The 16666-nt window shown below is 55.1% G+C and overlaps 1 protein-coding gene and 1 long non-coding RNA gene across 5 annotated transcripts in view, besides 7 other annotated features; one reads left to right on the forward strand and one right to left on the reverse strand.

The window, feature by feature from the left end:
* Window positions 2–16666, reverse strand: part of LOC107987209 (uncharacterized) — a 19620-nt gene continuing 2955 nt past the window's right edge. The window contains exons 2-3 of one of the 2 annotated variants that reach the window (XR_001750915.3): window positions 9078–10092; window positions 2–1445 (exon numbers count right to left, since the gene is read on the reverse strand). This is a non-coding gene — a long non-coding RNA (uncharacterized LOC107987209). Of the gene's footprint in view, window positions 1446–5984; window positions 7144–9077; window positions 10093–16666 lie in introns of those variants that run through there. The other variant, XR_001750914.3, reaches the window with a different exon arrangement.
* Window positions 4845–4934: an enhancer, noted in NCBI's record as "active region_9121". NCBI's record gives its function as "activates an Ori minimal core promoter by ATAC-STARR-seq in GM12878 lymphoblastoid cells {active_cell/tissue: GM12878}" and the evidence as "EXISTENCE:reporter gene assay evidence [ECO:0000049][PMID:35858748]".
* Window positions 5315–5684: a silencer, noted in NCBI's record as "silent region_6196". NCBI's record gives its function as "represses an Ori minimal core promoter by ATAC-STARR-seq in GM12878 lymphoblastoid cells {active_cell/tissue: GM12878}" and the evidence as "EXISTENCE:reporter gene assay evidence [ECO:0000049][PMID:35858748]".
* Window positions 5638–6139: an enhancer, noted in NCBI's record as "H3K27ac hESC enhancer chr14:105219303-105219804 (GRCh37/hg19 assembly coordinates)". NCBI's record gives its function as "activates a minimal SCP1, AML or CMV promoter by ChIP-STARR-seq in naive and primed H9 embryonic stem cells {active_cell/tissue: H9 hESC(naive and primed)}" and the evidence as "EXISTENCE:reporter gene assay evidence [ECO:0000049][PMID:30033119]".
* Window positions 5785–5834: an enhancer, noted in NCBI's record as "active region_9122". NCBI's record gives its function as "activates an Ori minimal core promoter by ATAC-STARR-seq in GM12878 lymphoblastoid cells {active_cell/tissue: GM12878}" and the evidence as "EXISTENCE:reporter gene assay evidence [ECO:0000049][PMID:35858748]".
* SIVA1 (SIVA1 apoptosis inducing factor) lies at window positions 5819–12326 on the forward strand. Of its 3 annotated transcripts, none has more exons than XM_011536360.3 (4): window positions 5819–5991; window positions 8302–8496; window positions 9276–9432; window positions 11891–12326. In XM_011536360.3, the coding sequence occupies exons 1-4, from the start codon at window positions 5874–5876 to the stop codon at window positions 11919–11921; spliced, it is 501 nt and encodes a 166-aa protein (XP_011534662.1). In that variant the 5' UTR covers window positions 5819–5873; the 3' UTR covers window positions 11922–12326. The 3 variants fall into 3 exon arrangements, with proteins under 3 accessions (XP_011534662.1, NP_006418.2, NP_068355.1); NM_006427.4 differs by having other exon boundaries at window positions 12100–12326; NM_021709.3 differs by lacking the exon at window positions 8302–8496 and having other exon boundaries at window positions 12100–12326.
* Window positions 5845–5914: an enhancer, noted in NCBI's record as "active region_9123". NCBI's record gives its function as "activates an Ori minimal core promoter by ATAC-STARR-seq in GM12878 lymphoblastoid cells {active_cell/tissue: GM12878}" and the evidence as "EXISTENCE:reporter gene assay evidence [ECO:0000049][PMID:35858748]".
* Window positions 12067–13015: an enhancer, noted in NCBI's record as "H3K4me1 hESC enhancer chr14:105225732-105226680 (GRCh37/hg19 assembly coordinates)". NCBI's record gives its function as "activates a minimal SCP1, AML or CMV promoter by ChIP-STARR-seq in primed H9 embryonic stem cells {active_cell/tissue: H9 hESC(primed)}" and the evidence as "EXISTENCE:reporter gene assay evidence [ECO:0000049][PMID:30033119]".
* Window positions 13016–13962: an enhancer, noted in NCBI's record as "H3K4me1 hESC enhancer chr14:105226681-105227627 (GRCh37/hg19 assembly coordinates)". NCBI's record gives its function as "activates a minimal SCP1, AML or CMV promoter by ChIP-STARR-seq in primed H9 embryonic stem cells {active_cell/tissue: H9 hESC(primed)}" and the evidence as "EXISTENCE:reporter gene assay evidence [ECO:0000049][PMID:30033119]".

Consider the following 16666-nt stretch of genomic DNA (forward strand, 5'->3'; position numbering starts at 1 on the left):
GTTTGATTTGACTTTGTCTTTATTGCTTTTAAACACTGAAAGACAACAATTCACTGTGACAGGAGTCTGGAGGATGTAGCTTCCTAAGAGCTGCCCATGTTTTTTGGGTAACAAAGCCAAGCCTTGTGTTTACTCAGAAAATTAAATAGAACAAGCCCATATAAGAGACCAAGTCAATTAAATATGGTTTGTTTTGAGACAGAGTCTTGCTCTATCACCCAGGCTGGAGTGCAGTGGCGCGATCTCTGCTCACCATAACCTCTGCCTCCCAGGTTCAAGCGATTCTCCTGCCTCGGCCTCCTGAGTAGCTGGTATTACAGGGGCCCGCCACGACGCCCAGCTAATTTTTGTATTTTTAATAGGGATGGGGTTTCACCATGCTGCCCAGGCTGGTCTCAAACGCCTGACCTCATGATTCACCCACCTTGGCCTCCCGAAGTGCTGGGATTACAGGTGGGAGGCACCGCGCCAGCGTGTTTAGTTTTTAAAATGATATTAAGGCCAGGTGCAGTGGCTCAGAGTTCGGAGTAAGTTTAGAAAAACAACTGCCCTTCCAGTATCCTTTCAAAGACAGGGAATCCTACAGAGACGCCAGTCTGGCGGGGTTAGACCCTGACTTTTGAGCACTGTGGCTGTCAGCTGGTCTCGCTAGCCCAGGAAGTTCAGCAGGCTCTACTGACACGGCAGGGGCCTGGGGGCATAGGCTGGGTTATGAGATTCCTGTGACTCCAGGGATGCAAGCAACTTTTCTAGACAGTACCAAGAACAGCCCTCAGTGACTTGAGCGGCAGGAAAGCCATGCAACTGCACGGCTCTGCCCCAGGCCACGGGCGCTTCCTTCCTCAGGCCGGAGTCCCTCAGCAGCACTAGCCACCTTGAGATGGGGTGGGACACACAGGCAGAAGCCAGCCTTTGAGTATTCCCAGATGCTCTCCTTTCATAACACAGCAAGAGAGACAAAAAGGGAGCCCCGAGGCAGGGGTAAGCTCCTGGGGAGAGGGGGCTGCGGGCTTTCTCTACTCAGCCCTCACATCTACACTGGGCCCTCAAAGTCAAGTCATCTAAATTGAAATTTGAGAGCTGCAAAATAGGTTTTCAAACCTCTGTTTTGTAGTAGCTGCTAAATCTTCCACCAGAACACAAGTTGTCATCGTTTTCTTTCCTCTCGGGATGGAAGGCAGGCGTTTCACAGGGTAAAAAGACACCAACGCAGAGGGGAAATACTTCTCCCCCAGCACCAACTCACTCACTTCCACGTGAACCAGAGACAAGAGGCTCTGGCGTCTGAGCGGTGGGTTAGTGCAGACAGGCAGGTCAATCATTCGGGTCTCCACCCCCTTCTTCTCAGTAGCAGATGTTTGGAGGGTCTGAGTGGTTATAGTAAGGGGCTCTCTCCACTTTTCATCAATAACACAGCCCCAGTGTAGATGGGGTCAGAGTGGTCTCTGTTGAATACATGGGTAAAAGACAAATTAGTGATAATTGTAGTGAATTCTTATCATTTTATGACAATATTTATTCAGAATGGCATCCATTCTGAATAAAAGTGGGACTTTCTGGTACAGAAGCAGGGCTCAGTCATTCTTGACAGTTTCTAGCTCCTCACCTCCTCCCAGTTGCCCAGGGTGGTCCACCCAGATCTCTGCTTTATACACCTGCCAGCTGGTGACCAGCTCCCTATGGGACACCTGGATACAACCTACTGGACTCAGCCCCTGGCCCCCACACCCCTCACGGACTGTGCAGACGTGCCACAGTGACCACCACCCAGTCACAGCAAGATGCCATGAAGCTGATGCCTGCCGGCTCGAAATCACACCCCACAGGAAATGCACTTGAGTAACAACACCCTGGACCTGAATACAGATTTGGTGCACAGGCCGCTGGCTCGCTCCCCACCATCTGGCTGGGCCTGCCTGTTCCCCGTGGCTCCCCCTCCCCACTGGCCTGTGAGGAACGCTGCCTCCTCGCTCCCGCCCGGTTGAGTCACACACCTGCTCTGCAGTTTCATGTGTTCTGCTGTGCTGCCTCCTCCAGCTCTCACCTGACCCTTGCACCCAAACCTCACTCTCCTGGTCAGGACTCTCCCAGAGAGACCATCATGATAGGAATGAACTGATCACTGCTCAGACAAAAGCCACAGGCTGCCTGCCAAAGCCTAGAAGCAAGCTGCTGGTGAGAGGAATGCCAGCACAGCTGGATACACAGGCCTGAGGCCATCAGCCAGGGTCAGGAGGCATCCCACGAGAGCACACACTGTAACCCCATGCCCACCGCCCCCAGAGCCCCATCAGGGAAGGGCCAAAGTTTACAGCCACTCTCCAGGAGAGACCTCAAGACGAATTAGAGGAAAACTATGACAATGATTTTGTTTAATGATAATTTTCCTTTTTCCTAGCACTCTGGAAAGCTGCCAGTTTCTTTACAAGTTAACCATCAATCTGATGCAGGGCAGGTGAGCCCCAAAATTGGGGCTTAACCCTGGAGGGTTCATGGCTTCACCCAGGAAGGCATTCAAGGGTGAGCCAGTGGTGTTAGCCAGGCAAGTTTGTTAAAGCAGCAGAATCCTACCCAGCAACCTCTGAGGAACCGGCATGTGGCCTGGGGGACAGCCCCACTCCATAAGCTGCCCGATGTTCTGTATCTGTCCACGATGGTGATGAGACCCTAGGAGAGTTGCAAGTCTGAACACAGGGAAATCTTTAGAAATCCCCACGATCCATAAGATTGAAAACAATCCTCCTCTCTGAGAACTTCATCTATTTCTGGGATAAACCAAATCTGTGTTTAGTCACACGTGACTCCAACTGAGTAACTTTCAAGTCATTTCCCTAAGGCAGAAAAAATTCTCCATTATGCCAGCAAAGTGGCAAGGAAGAGCCAAGAATGCTTGATCCCATCCCCACCACAGGGAACCCTGCACGGCAGGAGGAGAAAGGACATCTAAGCTGGAGACTGGTAAGGTTTCAGCCACCCATGGCTAGGAAAGCATACACTGCCTCTGAGGGGGCGTGGGCAGCTGCAACACGGGAGTCACGTGGGAGGGGTTTGCGGGACTCCAGGCATCACCTCTTCACACCGGAGGCAACACCGATGGAGTCGTGAGAACATAGTCCAGGTGTGTCCAGAATTGGTGGGTTCTTGATCTCACTGACTTTAAGAATGAAGCACTAGGTCCTCACAGTTGACTGTTACAGTTCTTAAAATTGTTATGTCTGCAGTTTGTTCCTTCTGATGTTTGGACGTGTTTGGAGTTTGTTCCTTCTGGCAGACTCACGGTCTTGCTGGCTTCAGGAGTGGAGCTGCAGACCTTCACAAGGAGTGTTACAGCTCTTAAGGCAGTGTGTCTGGAGCTGTTCATTCCTCCCGGTGGGTTTGTGGCTTTGCTGGCCTCAGAAGTGAAGCTACACACCTTCCCAGTGAGTGTTACAGCTCATAAAAAGTGTGGACCCAAAGAGTGAAAGAGCAAAGCCCCAAACATGTGGCAGAACACCAACACGTTCCCACTGCCTGCTCGGGCGGCCTGCTTTTATTCCCTTATCTGGCCCCACCCATATCCTGCTGATTGGTCCATTTTACAGAGGGCTGGTCTGTTTTACAGAAAGCTGATTGGTCCGTCTTGACAGGGCGCTGATTGGTGTGTTTACAATCCCTGAGCTAGACACAGAAGTTCTCCAAGTCCCCACAGAGCACTGATTGGTGCATTTACAAACCTTGAGCTAGATACAGGGTGCTGATTGGTGTCTTTACAAACCTTGAGCTAGACACAGAGTGCTGATTGGTGTATTTACAGTCCCTTAGCTAGACATAAAGGTTCTCCAAGTCCCCACCAGATTAGCTAGATACAGAGTGCTGATTGGTACATTTACAAACCTTGAGCTAAACACAGAGTGCTGACTGGTGCGTCCACAATCCCACAGCTAGACATAAAGGTTCTCCAAATCCCCACCAGATTAGCTGGATACAGAGTGCCCATGGGTGCATCTACAAACCTTGAGCTAGACACAGGGTACCGATTGGTGAGTTTACAAACCTTGAGCTAAACACAGTGCTGATTGGTGTATTTACAATCCCTTAGCTTGACATAAAGGTTCTCCAAGTCGCCGCTAGACTCAGGAGCCCAGCTGGCTTCACCTAGTGGATCCCACACCGGGGCTGCAGGTGGAGCTGCCCGCCAGTCCCGCGCCGTGCGCCCGCACTCCTCAGCCCTTGGGCGGTCGATGGGACCGGGTGCCGCGGAGCAGGGGGCCGCGCAAGAGCCCACGGCAGGGGGGAGACTCAGGCATGGCGGGCTGCAGGTCCTGAGCCCTGCCTCGCGGGGAGGCAGCTGAGGCCCGGTGAGAATTCGAGCGCAGCGCCGGCGGGCCGGCACTGGTGGGGGACCCGGCGCATCCTCCGCAGCTGCTGGCCCGGGTGCTAAGCTCCTCACTGCCTGGGGCCGGTGGCTCCGATTGCGGGGCCCGCCGAGCCCACGCCCACCCGGAACTCACGCTGACCCGCAAGCGCCACGTGCAGCCCGGGTTCCCGCCCGCACCTCTCCCTCCACACCTCCCTGCAAGCTGAGGGAGCCGGCTCCGGCCGCGGCCAGCCCAGAGAGGGGCTCCCACAGTGCAGCGGCGGGCTGAAGGGCCCCTCGAGCGCGGCCAGAGTGGGCGCCGAGAGCGAGCGAGGGCTGCCAGCACGCTGTCATCTCTCACAGGGCGAAGCCCACGCCACAGGACGGGTCGGTTCTGTACCCGCCGGGGCAGGGGAGAGCCGCCTCTGGTGAGCAGAACCCCGGAGAAGGGACGACGCGGGTGCACCTCGCGGCATGGGGACACCAAGTCAGACGAACCCGCTGTGCAAGAACATTTTCCACACAGCGGCGCATACCCCCGCCCGGGGGCGCTCGGCAGCCGCACGCGGCCCTCAGAGCGCAGCCCCCACACGCCTTTACTTCTGGAAGGCGGAGACCGCCACAGTGAGGAGCTAAGCCAGCTGAGGCAACACAGAAAAACCCCCGTTCCTACCCAAAACCAAAAAGCGGGGCGCGGAGGCGCGCGCCTGCGGTCCCAGCTACCGGGGAGGCCGAGAAGGGAGGATCGCCTGAGCCCGGGAGGCGCAAGCTACAGTGAGCCGAGACTGCCACTGCACTCAGTCTGGGTGACAGAGCGAGACCCTGTCTCTAAAGGGGAAAAAAGAGCTAGGAAGAAGCGGGCTGCCTCTTAACTTCGGAGAAGTAAATGAGGAACTATAACCAGTGTCTACCGTTTAGGAACCAAACAAAAGCTGACAGGAATCCCGCCACCGACCCAGCCGCCCCAGACTTTGCCCTGGCCTATCCCGCGCCGCTCCTCAAACTAGACCCGCCCCGACGTCGCCCTGGCCTATCCCACGCCGATCCTCAAACGAGGCCCGCCCCCGATGCACAAGCTCCGCCCTCGTTGCACCGTCCTGACCCTCGGCCTCGCCCCCGCCCCCTGGCTCTTCCCGCGCAGCCGAATGCCGCGACCTGGCTCCCACCCTTCGTCGCTTCGCGCCGCATAGGAACCCCGCCCCTAGTCTCTCCTCCCGCCTATCCTGAGCGGCGCGCGCACAAATCTCTCCCACGGACCCGCCCACCCTGATCCTCAACCTGGCCCCTGGCCTTTCCCGCGGCGTCGAGTCCAGTACACCGACGCACGAGTCCCACCCCCGATCTCTCCCTCGGCCTATCCCGCGCCGCTCCGCGCAGGAGTCCCGCCTCCCACTTCGCCCGCAGCCTATGACGCGCCGCGTCGCTCCCTCTCCTCAAACCCGCTCTCGCCCGCGGATGGGCGCGCAGCTGTGACGTCACGGCGTCGTTGGTAAGGGGCTGGCGGCCGGGGAGCTGCGTAGCTCCCGGCCCCGCGGCCATGCCCAAGCGGAGCTGCCCCTTCGCGGACGTGGCCCCGCTACAGCTCAAGGTCCGCGTGAGCCAGAGGGAGTTGAGCCGCGGCGTGTGCGCCGAGCGCTACTCGCAGGAGGTCTTCGGTGAGTGTCGGGCGGGCTGCCGAGGGTCCGCTGCGTCGGGGCCTGGAACGGGCCGGGCCTCAGCGTCCCCTCTGAGGCCTGAGCGGGGGGCTGGAGGGCCCTGCTTTCTGGCCCCGCGTTCCCGGAAGCTGGGAGGCCGCGGGGACACAAGCTGGCCACGCCCAGGGCTGGGGTCAGTGAGGGGGATGTGAGGACCCCAGCGTTCGCCCACCCTGTCCAACAGCCTGAAAGAAAAGGGTCCCTGCCCCTAGCCCCCGCGCCCTCTTCCACGATCCCGGTTAGTCGCCGCCCTGCAGTGAGCGGCACCCGCCTGGTGCTTTCTCAGGACTGTCCCGTGCAGGATGTCCTGGGAGAGGTTGGGGAGCGGGGCGTCCTGCATGGAGTCAACCCGAAGAGTGCCCCTCCTGTCCCAAGAGGTATTCATGGAGCGCGCGGCCCTGCCAGGCACGGCGGCTTTCTCGGGAGACCAAAGGCAGGCAAGACAGATGTGCCCCGTCTCCCGGGAGCTCCCCAGCCTAGTTGGGGAGACCAGCAGGAGGAGTCGCCACAGGTGGTCGGGGCAGGCACAGGTTTGTGCAGGCGCACCTGCAGGGATGGCACGGAAGGCTTCTTGGAAGAACAGTCTGAGCGGAATCCTGTGGGGGCGAGTAGGAGTTAGCCAGGCAGAGGAAGGGAAGGAAGAGGGCGAGGCAGAAGCCAGGCAGCAGGAGAGCGAAATAGGACTCCGTGTGGCTGCAGTGTCCAGTTCTGGGTGGGATGTGAGGGCAGTGAGCTCCCAGGCCTTCTCTGGCTTTCTCCTGTGGATTTCAGGCGTGTTGATCTTATTGATCATCACTCTGACTGGGGTGATTAATACCCTGGGGCAGGTAAAAAGTGGAGCTTACCTTGCCTAGTGATTGGGACACAAAGTCTGCACCTGTAGAGCAGTTAGAGGATGACCCGGGGTGTGTGATTTACCTGGTGCCGCTTGTGCCTTGGGAATGAGGGAAAGACTCTGCCTCCCGAGGTTCCTCTGTGCGGTGTCTCCAGTGTGCTAGGGCTGTGAAAGCGAGTGCTATTCTGGGCCATGGGGAGGTAAGGGGAATGATGCCGTGGGAACTGTGGCAGGACCGCAATCGTGTGCCCTCTCAGGACAGTTGAAAAATTCAAACACTGTGCAGGCAAGAAGAGGAAGATGGAAATGGGGCCTGGCTCAGTATGGCCCTTTATTCTTCCCGAGTGTCCTGACCTGGGCGTTGGCAGGTGTGTGCCACTCACCGGGTCAGGTCAGGGAGGTCTGCTGGGTGCAGTGGGCCTTCCATGGTAAATGCAGGACACCTACTTTGAACTGTGTGACAGTTTCCAAATTCCAGGCCACAGCTGTTACCCTGATCTCTTAACCTCGAATTGTCCACAAGGCCTTGAGGACAAGGATTAGCCTCACCACGTGTCTGTCCCATTCCTTTCCCCTTATAGATGGGGGAAGGTGTGGGGGGCCAGGAGGAAGGTGCAGGGTGTTGTGGGCTGGCATCAGCTACTCCATGTGAGTTACCCTGTCACTATTATTGCTGCCCACTTCATGTAGAGCCACATAGAGTTTCTGGGATCTCTGCCTTTACTGTGTTATGGTGAGGTGCAAAACAAAAAACAAAGCATTTCTGGGTCTGGCCCTGGGCATCTGATTTTTCAAAGCTCCCCAGGTGACTGAACTGTGGCCTGATGGAAAACCACTGCTCCCAGGGATGGGTGGGTGTTCTAGAACAAGAGGTCTGGAAGGTTCTGGGATGCTTGTCTTGCCAGCAACTCTGTAGCAGGTGAAGGGGGTGTGCTCTGGCCAGAGGCTGTAGGCCCAGCTCCAAGCCTCTGGCTGCTTCCTTGGCAGGGGACGAGTTTTGTGAATTAGTGCTCCACAGTGCAGAGCTCCCTCTGTGCATTCCACAGAGCCTGGTTTCCAGGTGGGGAGTGCTGGGGAAGCAGAAAAGGGAGAAAGGGGACAAGCTTAGTGAGGCGAGGCCAGCCGTGAATTGCAGAAAATGAGCCGAGTGATAGGAGAGGGAACCCTTGCATCAGACACAGGTGGGGCTGCAGGGCCAGAGCCTTCCTGGAGGAGATGACAGCTAAGCCAGGTAAGGAAAGGACGCACAAGCATTCTCAGCATAGAGGCAGAGCAGGACCCAGCTCGCCAGGGCACAACACAGGCTGGGGTTACTGGGAGACAGAGGGCACACAGGAGGACGATGGGGTTCATGTGAGGCTAGAAAGACTCAATGGCCATGCAGGGGCTTCGTTGGTACACAGTGAAGGACGTGAGAATGATTTATCTTCCCCCAGAGAAGACCAAGCGACTCCTGTTCCTCGGGGCCCAGGCCTACCTGGACCACGTGTGGGATGAAGGCTGTGCCGTCGTTCACCTGCCAGAGTCCCCAAAGCCTGGCCCTACAGGGGCCCCGAGGGCTGCACGTGGGCAGATGCTGATTGGACCAGACGGCCGCCTGATCAGGAGCCTTGGGCAGGCCTCCGAAGCTGGTGAGTGGCACCAGCAGCCCTTTGTGGCTGTGGCACTGAGGGCAGGTGGTGGCACGAGCATTTTTCTTGATTTGCAAGGTCAGGCTTTTCCTCCCTGGGTAAGCAGGACTCTGACCCAGAGCTTGGCCTTCTGGCTCAGAAGGCTCCTGTTATCAGGAGGTCTCACATTCAAGACTGGAAGTTGTTAAACAGCTTCTAAGTACTGGGCCAAAAAAGCAGCAGAGACTCCCCGGGTATCCCGTCTGCTTTCCGCCTGCAGCCCCCTCAGATAGTCCCACAAGGCTGGAAACATGCCAGTCCCATCCCTATGCAGTGTGGGGTCTCAGAGCATCACCTGTGTTGCTGGTTAGAAATGCAATCCCCGACTCTACCTCAAGTCTGGTTGGTGTGTCTAGGAGGAGCCCAGGCACCTCTTTGTTAACCAGTAAGGCAGTGGGCCACACTGAGACCCAGATGGGACACATGGAGTTCTGACAAGCAACAGGGGAAGAATGGTCCTTCCAGCACTAGCCTCCAGGTAGCAGAGGGACCTGGTAAGGGAAAGAGCACTGAACTTGGAGTCAACTACAGGCATATCTCACCTTGGATCTCTGTAGTAAAACGGGGGTCCTGTGCACTGTACCAGGCTCACGGGTTGTCAGAAGGATCCAGTGTAGGTGGGGATGGGGTAGGCAGGTCAGAGCCCTCTGCCCTCAGGTATGCATGGAGGCAGGTAGCCCGGCAGTCCCGGAAACTCCAGTCTCCTTGCAGCCTGACGGCTTGGCGTTTCTTCCTCACAGACCCATCTGGGGTAGCGTCCATTGCCTGTTCCTCATGCGTGCGAGCCGTGGATGGGAAGGCGGTCTGCGGTCAGTGTGAGCGAGCCCTGTGCGGGCAGTGTGTGCGCACCTGCTGGGGCTGCGGCTCCGTGGCCTGTACCCTGTGTGGCCTCGTGGAGTAAGTACTTCAGTCCCTGGAGCTGCTGAGATCCCATAGCCCCAGCAAGCCGTGATGGGGGACGGGTGGGTCACCCATGTGGGCCCAGAACACACACGTGTGGCCCCTGATGCAGTGCCATCTGGCATTGCCTAACGGGACATGGTGGCAATAGATGCTTGGCCCAACTTTAGTGGTTAGTAATCCTCTCTAAGGGAAAGCTGAACCTCACAGATGACCTGCTCTGTATCCGGCTCTAGTCCCTGTCTTCAGCCACTTCCTGTTCTGATCTTTGAGCACCCCCACCTCCTCCTCCTCTGGTCTTTGAGCCCCCCCTCCCCCCGTCCGAGGAGCCCCTGGTTGGTGACACAGGTGCACACCGCAGCTTCACCACAGTCATGCGTGCCGTTTGGTTGTAGACCCTCTCAGGCAGGAAGTGGAGTGTTTGTGTAGTCTCCCATTTGTGGGTGGGTTTGCTGCAGCTGGCTGGATCCCGTCCTTACTCCTAAGGTGGGGAGGGGCGTTCTCACCCTAGGGGCTACTCACCTGGTGGATGGGAGTGGACAGTGTGGAGCCTGTTTGCCCTGCCCCGTGAGAAAGATGACTTCATCCAGACACATGTGGAACTGGCTCCATAGACCCAAAGCAAGCTTAGTCCAAACAATGTCTGAAATTGTCCATCTAAAATAGAAACCACATGTTACATCTCGAGTCCTTTCTCTCGAGCCTTTCTTCAGTCGGGGCAGAGGCCCAGACTCATTGGAGACGGAGAGCCCTGGGCAGGGGGGGCAGCACCAGGGAGAAGCGCCGCGTGCCAGTGATCGGCTCCCATGGCTTCAGCATGGGCAGGAGTGGGGTAACGCACCCCATCCAGGTTGGGAATCATCTGCAGGGCTAGCTATGAATGTGGGATACTCTGTCTTTGCTTTTCACCCGCTGAGTTCATCTTCTTTCCTAGAAGTAAACTGAAAAGGGCAGGGTTTTCTCATTGTCTGGTGGCCCTCTCACCAAAGCAGAAGTGAACATAGCCATGGGCAGGTTCAGCGGAGAGGTGGGTCCCAGAGCGCTGCGTGGCTGGCCTCCCACTCCTGCCCTGCACACCATCCTTGAGGGACTCCCTTGCGCCCATTTCCTCCTGGCCTCTACCTACTTTCTGCTGCTGCTTCCTCCCATACCCACAGAGTTCACGTTGAGCTGAGTGGGCCACTGTCCCCACTGTGGACACACTCTTTTATCGCAGCTACAGCACAGGAGGTGGGCTCTGCCCTCTTTCACAAATAAATGACTTGTTCCAGGTCACAAGCCAGAAGTGGCATTCCCAGGCCAGGCAGCCCAGCTGGTGGCACCCGCAGTCTCCTACCCCCTCCCCTGCCATTTCCTACTTCAGGACCAGGCGTCGCAGGAGTGGGGGAAAACAGGGATCTGTCCACACGGCTCTGGTTTAACACAGATGCAGCCCAGCAGCCTTTGGCGTCCTGCTGATGGCCTGCACTGGCCCACGCCTGGCCCGTCCTCTGCAGGGCTCTCCAGCTGGCTGCCGGTGGCGGTGAGGGGCTGTCTTCGCGGCTCACCCACAATACTACTGGCAAACTCTGCAAACCAAGTGGCAAGCAGTTCTGGCTGCCTTGTTGACTCCACGGCCCTGTCGTGTTTGGGGTAGCCATTGCCAGTCCCGTTTCCTCGCAACATCTCTCTTAATCACTTTCTCCCTGTGTTTTGCCGGGTTCCCTAGCCTTTACCTTTAGAGCTTTCTTTTTTTTTTTTTTTTGAGACGGAGTCTCGCTCTGTCACCCAGGCTGGAGTGCAGTGGTGCGATCTTGGCTCACTGCAACTTCCACCTCCTGTGTTCAAGCAATTTTCCTGTCTCAGCCTCCCAAGTAGCTGGAGTTACAGGCGTGCGCTAGCACGCCCAGCTAATTTTTGTATTCTTAGTAGAGACAGAGTTTCACCATGTTGGCCAGGCTGGTCTCGAACTCCTGACCTCAGGTGATCCTCCGGCCTCAGCCTCCCAAAGTGCTGAGGTAAGCCACACCATACGCGTGAGCCACCATGCCCGGCCCTACCCTTAGTCTTGATATATCAGAAAAGCACTGTTTGATGTGCTTCAGTGTAAACCATTGTGGTTCGGTGAATTCTGGCAGGTCATCTGGAGGTTTCTTTGGAGAGCTTCTATCCTACTGGAAACCCAGGTTGGGCCCCATGTGGATTGATCGGCAGTGGGAATCAGCTAGGGCTGCTGTAACTGAGTTCGCAGACCCAGTGGCATAGACAGCAAAGAGGTACTGCCACGTGGCTTTGGAGACCAGAAGTCTGAGAGGAAGGTGCTGGCAGGGCTGGTTCCTTCTGAGGCTGCAATGGAAAACCTGTCCTGGCCTCTCTCCTGGCATCTGCTGGTTATCTTTGGTGTTCCCTGTAGACAGCTGCCCCCTCCCTGTATCTTCATGTCGTCTTCCTTCTCTGTGTCCTTCTCTTCACGTAGTCTTTTTAGGACGCTGGTCGTGTTGCCTTAGGGCCCCCATGTCAGTGCCGTCATCTAGACTGATGATGCCCGCAGTGATCCTGTCTCCAGATAAGGTCATGTCCTGAGGTGTTCTGGGTTAGGACTTTGACGTTTGAATGGTGGGGGGTGGTGGACACAATTCAGCCCCTGACAGCAGCTTTTCTCTCCCCTCCCTGACGCTGTCGCAGCTGCAGTGACATGTACGAGAAAGTGCTGTGCACCAGCTGTGCCATGTTCGAGACCTGAGGCTGGCTCAAGCCGGCTGCCTTCACCGGGAGCCACGCCGTGCATGGCAGCCTTCCCTGGACGAGCGCTCGGTGTTCACACTGAACTGTGGGGTCGACGGGAGGGGTGCCTTTTACATGTTCTATTTTGTATCCTAATGACAGAATGAATAAACCTCTTTATATTTGCACAAGAGGACTCTTGTCTGTCAGCACTTCTGAGGGTGGAGTTTGTGACCCTCCACCTGGGAGGGCCAAAGGAGCAGTCAGTGGGCGGGGCCTGCTGCACCTGCTGTCTACCCGCCAGCTCCTAGAGACCCCACTGTGCATTGTGTGAGGCCCCTTACTCGCCCCCTGCTACAGGTGGGAAGGCTCAGCCCAGAGCACGCTCCTCCCCAGCTCGCCCAGCTGGTAAATGGGGAGAAAGGACCCAGGTCTGGCTCCAGGGTACACAACCAGTGTACTAGACCTTCACGGAGAGAGGTGATACTCGCGCCCCATCCCCAGACGCCACTGTCATGCACGCCTGATCCATCACATCTTGGTGTCCACTTTACTTTTTTGGTGCCTGTATGGTCAGGCCCCGTGTGATTGATAGGCCCCTGCCCTCCAGGAGCTTTGCTCTAGCAGGGGAGATGGGCCCAGCTGTGCTCCCTCTGGAGTCGGTGTAGCTTGTGTGGGGCCTTGAAGGAAGAGGAGTTGACAGGAGAGGAGGCGGGGTGGCCTGGAGGACAGAAGAGGGCAGGCTGCTTGAGTGCTGGTCCCCACACAAGTCGACTGAGGCGGGTCCCAGCCCCTCCAGGGATGAGTGAGCAGTTGAGCCACAGCCCCTCTGAGAAGCTCTGGACTAGAGTAAAGGTTGTTTGGGGCAGAGGGTGGGTGGGAGCATGTGCTGGGGACAGTTGAGAAGAGCCTTTGCTGTTCCTGGGAAGCTGTTAGAAGAGCAAATTATGCTGATTCTTAGAGAAAAGTCAGTGGTGCCCAAGTGGTGGGTTGGAGCCAGGCCCAGAGTGGGATTTGCTGCCCTGGGGCCGAGGATATACCACTCCCGTGTCACGGGTAGAGGGGGCGCTCAGAGAGGTGGTCAGCATGGTAAAATTCCAGGGGGCAACTTAGAAGGGGATTGCAGAGGACTGGCTGGGGGCTTCCTGCAATGAGGACGGCCTTGACCGCCTGCTGCGAGCATCGGGAGCAAGTGGCCACGGTCAGCCACGTGCTGACTCCTTCCAGGTTTCCACAACAGACTGCCACCCAAGCCCTCATTTCTGTTACTCCTGTCGCTGCCCCCTCGGGCCTGTCGGCTCTTCCCTTCACATCCTCTGGCCACATCCCTGCCCCACAGGACCACACTACTCCAGCCAGCCTGCCTCCTTCCCCTATAGGGTCACTACATAGCGCCTTCCAGGCTCCCTGCTTCTGCCCTGCACCTGGCAGTCTGTCCTTATACAGCAGCCAGATCTGTCACTCCCCTGTCCCAACACTCCAGTGGCTAAACATGTCCTTAAAAGTAAAAGTCTGTGGCCCCACAGCCTCTGGCTTCACCCCTCCTCCCCTATCCCAAGGCTTGCTCTGCCCCAGCCAGGCCTTCCTGCTGTTCTGAGAATGCTCAGCATGTTTCCCCTGCACCCCCCTCGCTCCTTCTGCCTGGGGAGCTCTTCCTCTGGACATCCATAGGGCTCCCCCGGATTCAGCTCAGAGAAGCATCCCAGTGCCCTAATGTGTAGGACAACCCCTCCATCACGCTCCCTCTCGCCCTACCTAACTTTACCACTGGACGTAATGCATATTTAAGTAAATATGCAAATGTACTTATTCTAACTCTACTAACTGAGGTGTCGCTTCCGTGAGGGGTGGGACTTTGCCTAGAGCAGTACCTGGCATATATGTTTGCAGTAAATATTGTTGGTCTTCCAGCTGTGGTGGAGCAACAAAAACTGGCCCATAGATGACTATATAGAGAGAGAGACATCGGACAGCAGCCATTGCAGGATAGTAACGCCTGAGAGAGGGAACAAACACCAAGAGCCCAGGGCAGCTGCAACACTGGAGTAGAAATTGCCTCAGTGTTCCCCTAAGGCTCCTGCTGAGGACTGATGGCTCCTGTGTGTGAGGAAACTGCCTGAGGCTGGGGAAAGAGCCATTGGAAGAAAGCGGGAAGCAAGTCACATTCCCAGCACTAAGTGTGGGGAAACATCATTCATGGAGAACAGGGTAGAGGACTCAAAAGGATATTGATGCCATATTCAGGCTAGATTAGCCCTAGACTAGAGACTGCTCTGTGCCTTCCTAACACCTTTAAGTCAAGCCTCAAAAAGACCAAACGGTTGCAAGTGCTTTAATAGCATCCAGAACAAAACTCAAAAGTAAGGGGGAAAACATATTTATTTACTTATTTTTTTTAGAACAAACGAGGCCGGGTGTCAGAGGCTCACGCCTGTAATCCAAGCACTGTGGGAGGTCAAGGCGGGTGGATCACTTGAGGCTAGGAGTTTGAGAACAGCCTGGCCAACATGGTGAAACCCCGTCTCTAAAAATACAAAAATAAGCCAGGCACGGTGGCATGTGCCTGTAATCCCAGCTACTCGGAAGGCCGAGGCAGGAGAATCACTTGAACCCAGGAGGTGGAGGTAAGTAAGCCAAGATCTCAATCTCACCACTGCACTCTAGCCTGGGCGACAGAGTGAGACTCCGTCTCAAAAAAAGAAAAAAAACAATCAAACATGCAAAGAAGCAGGAACTATACCACACAATGAGAAGAAAAGTTAGTCTGTAGAAACAGACCCAGAAATGACACAAGGTGGTAGAATAATTCCGTCTACTAAGTAGACAGGGACATCAGAATGGCCATTATTAAGAAGGATAGACGAAAACAGGAGCATGTTAAGAAAAGGAATGAAAGACATAAAAATGGCCCAAACAATTTCCAGAGACAAAAATACAATGTCTGAGATGGAAAATACACTGATGAGATTAAAACCAAAATAGACATTGCAGAGCAAAAAATTAGTGGACTTGAAGCCATTGCAATATAAGCTATCCAAAAGGGAACAGAAAAAAAATGAGGAAAATGGCAGAGCCCCTCTGAGTTGTGGGACCACTTCAAGCAGCCTACTGTGCCTTTAACTGGAGACCCATGGACGAGGGGCATAGCAGGGTGGAGACAACTTTTGGAAAAAATAACGGCAGGCCGGGCGTGGTGGCTCACGCCTGTAATCTCAACACTTTGGGAAGCTGATGCTGGCGGATCACCAGAGGTCAGGAGTTTGAGACCAGCCTGGCCAACATGGTGAAACCCTGTCTCTACTAAAAATGCAAAAATTAGCCAGGCGTGGTGGCAGGTGCTTATAATCCCAGCTACTTGGGAGGCTGAGGCAGGAGAATCGCTTGAACCCGGGAGGCGGAGGTTGCAGCAAGCTGAGATTGTGCCATTGCACTCCAGCCTGGGCAACAAGAGCGAAACTCCATCTCTAAATAAATAAATAAATAAAATAATGACTGTAAAATTTCCTAATTTGGTGGAAACATAAAGCCACAGATCCAGGAAGCTCAACAAACCCCAAAAGAAACATGGAGAAAATTACATGAAGCACATCATCATGAAATTCCTCCAAACCAGTGACAAATAAAAAAAAGCAGCCAGAGAAAAAAGACACTTTGTGTTTACAGGAACAAAGAATGGCAGCAAGACTTCTCACTAGAAACTGCAAGCAGACAGTGAACAACACCTGTGGGTTGGGCAAAGAACTTGAATAAACTTATTTATTTATTTTTTTGAGATGGAGTTTCGCTCTTGTTGCCCAGGCTGGAGTGCGGTGGCACGATCTCGCCTCACCACAACCTCCGCCTCCCTGGTTCAAGCAATTCGCCTGCCTCGGCCTCCCAAATAGCTGGGATTTCAGGCATGCGCCTCCATGCCTGCCTAATTTTGTATTTTTAGTGGAGACGGGGTTTCTCTATGTCGGTTAGGCTGGTCTCAAACTCCCAACCTCAGGTGATCTGCCTACCTCAGCCTCCCAAAGTGCTGGGATTTGTAATCCCAAGCCCAGCTTGAATAAACATTTATCCAAATTTAGTTTTGAAAGAAAAGAATGTCAACCTGGAATTCTATACCCAGTGAAAATATCTTTCAAAAGTGAAGGTGAAATAAAGACTTTTCAGACATACAAAGCTGGAAGATTTACAAAAATTGTCAAAAGAAGTTTTTCTGGCAGAAGGAAAATGACACCAGATGGAAACTGCTTGTACACAAAGATATGACGAGCACCTGAAATGGTCACTGTTTGGGAGGACACAAAAGGCAGGGTTTTTTCTGATTTTTAAAAGTGCCTGTTGTCCCAGCTACTCAGGAGATTAAGCTGGGAGAATCACTTGATAGGGGTTCAAAGCCAGCCTGGGCAACATGGCAAGACCCTGTCTTTATTTTATTTTATTTATTATTTTTTTTTTTGACAGTGTCTTGCTCTGTCACCCAGGTTGGAGTGCAGTGGCCTGATCTCGGCTCACTGCAAGCTCTGCCTCCCGGGTTCATGCC

Source organism: Homo sapiens, chromosome 14, assembly GCF_000001405.40.
Source record: "Homo sapiens chromosome 14, GRCh38.p14 Primary Assembly".
Lineage (NCBI taxonomy): Eukaryota > Metazoa > Chordata > Mammalia > Primates > Hominidae > Homo > Homo sapiens.

Bases quoted from the DNA above. Each gene is read 5' to 3' on its own strand.
- SIVA1 (NM_006427.4), top strand. From the start codon at position 5,874: ATGCCCAAGCGGAGCTGCCCCTTCGCGGACGTGGCCCCGCTACAGCTC. The intron at 8,497-9,275 runs GTGAGTGGCACC...TCTTCCTCACAG, and splicing joins TGGGCAGGCCTCCGAAGCTG to ACCCATCTGGGGTAGCGTCC. The intron at 9,433-12,099 runs GTAAGTACTTCA...ACGCTGTCGCAG, and splicing joins ACCCTGTGTGGCCTCGTGGA to CTGCAGTGACATGTACGAGA.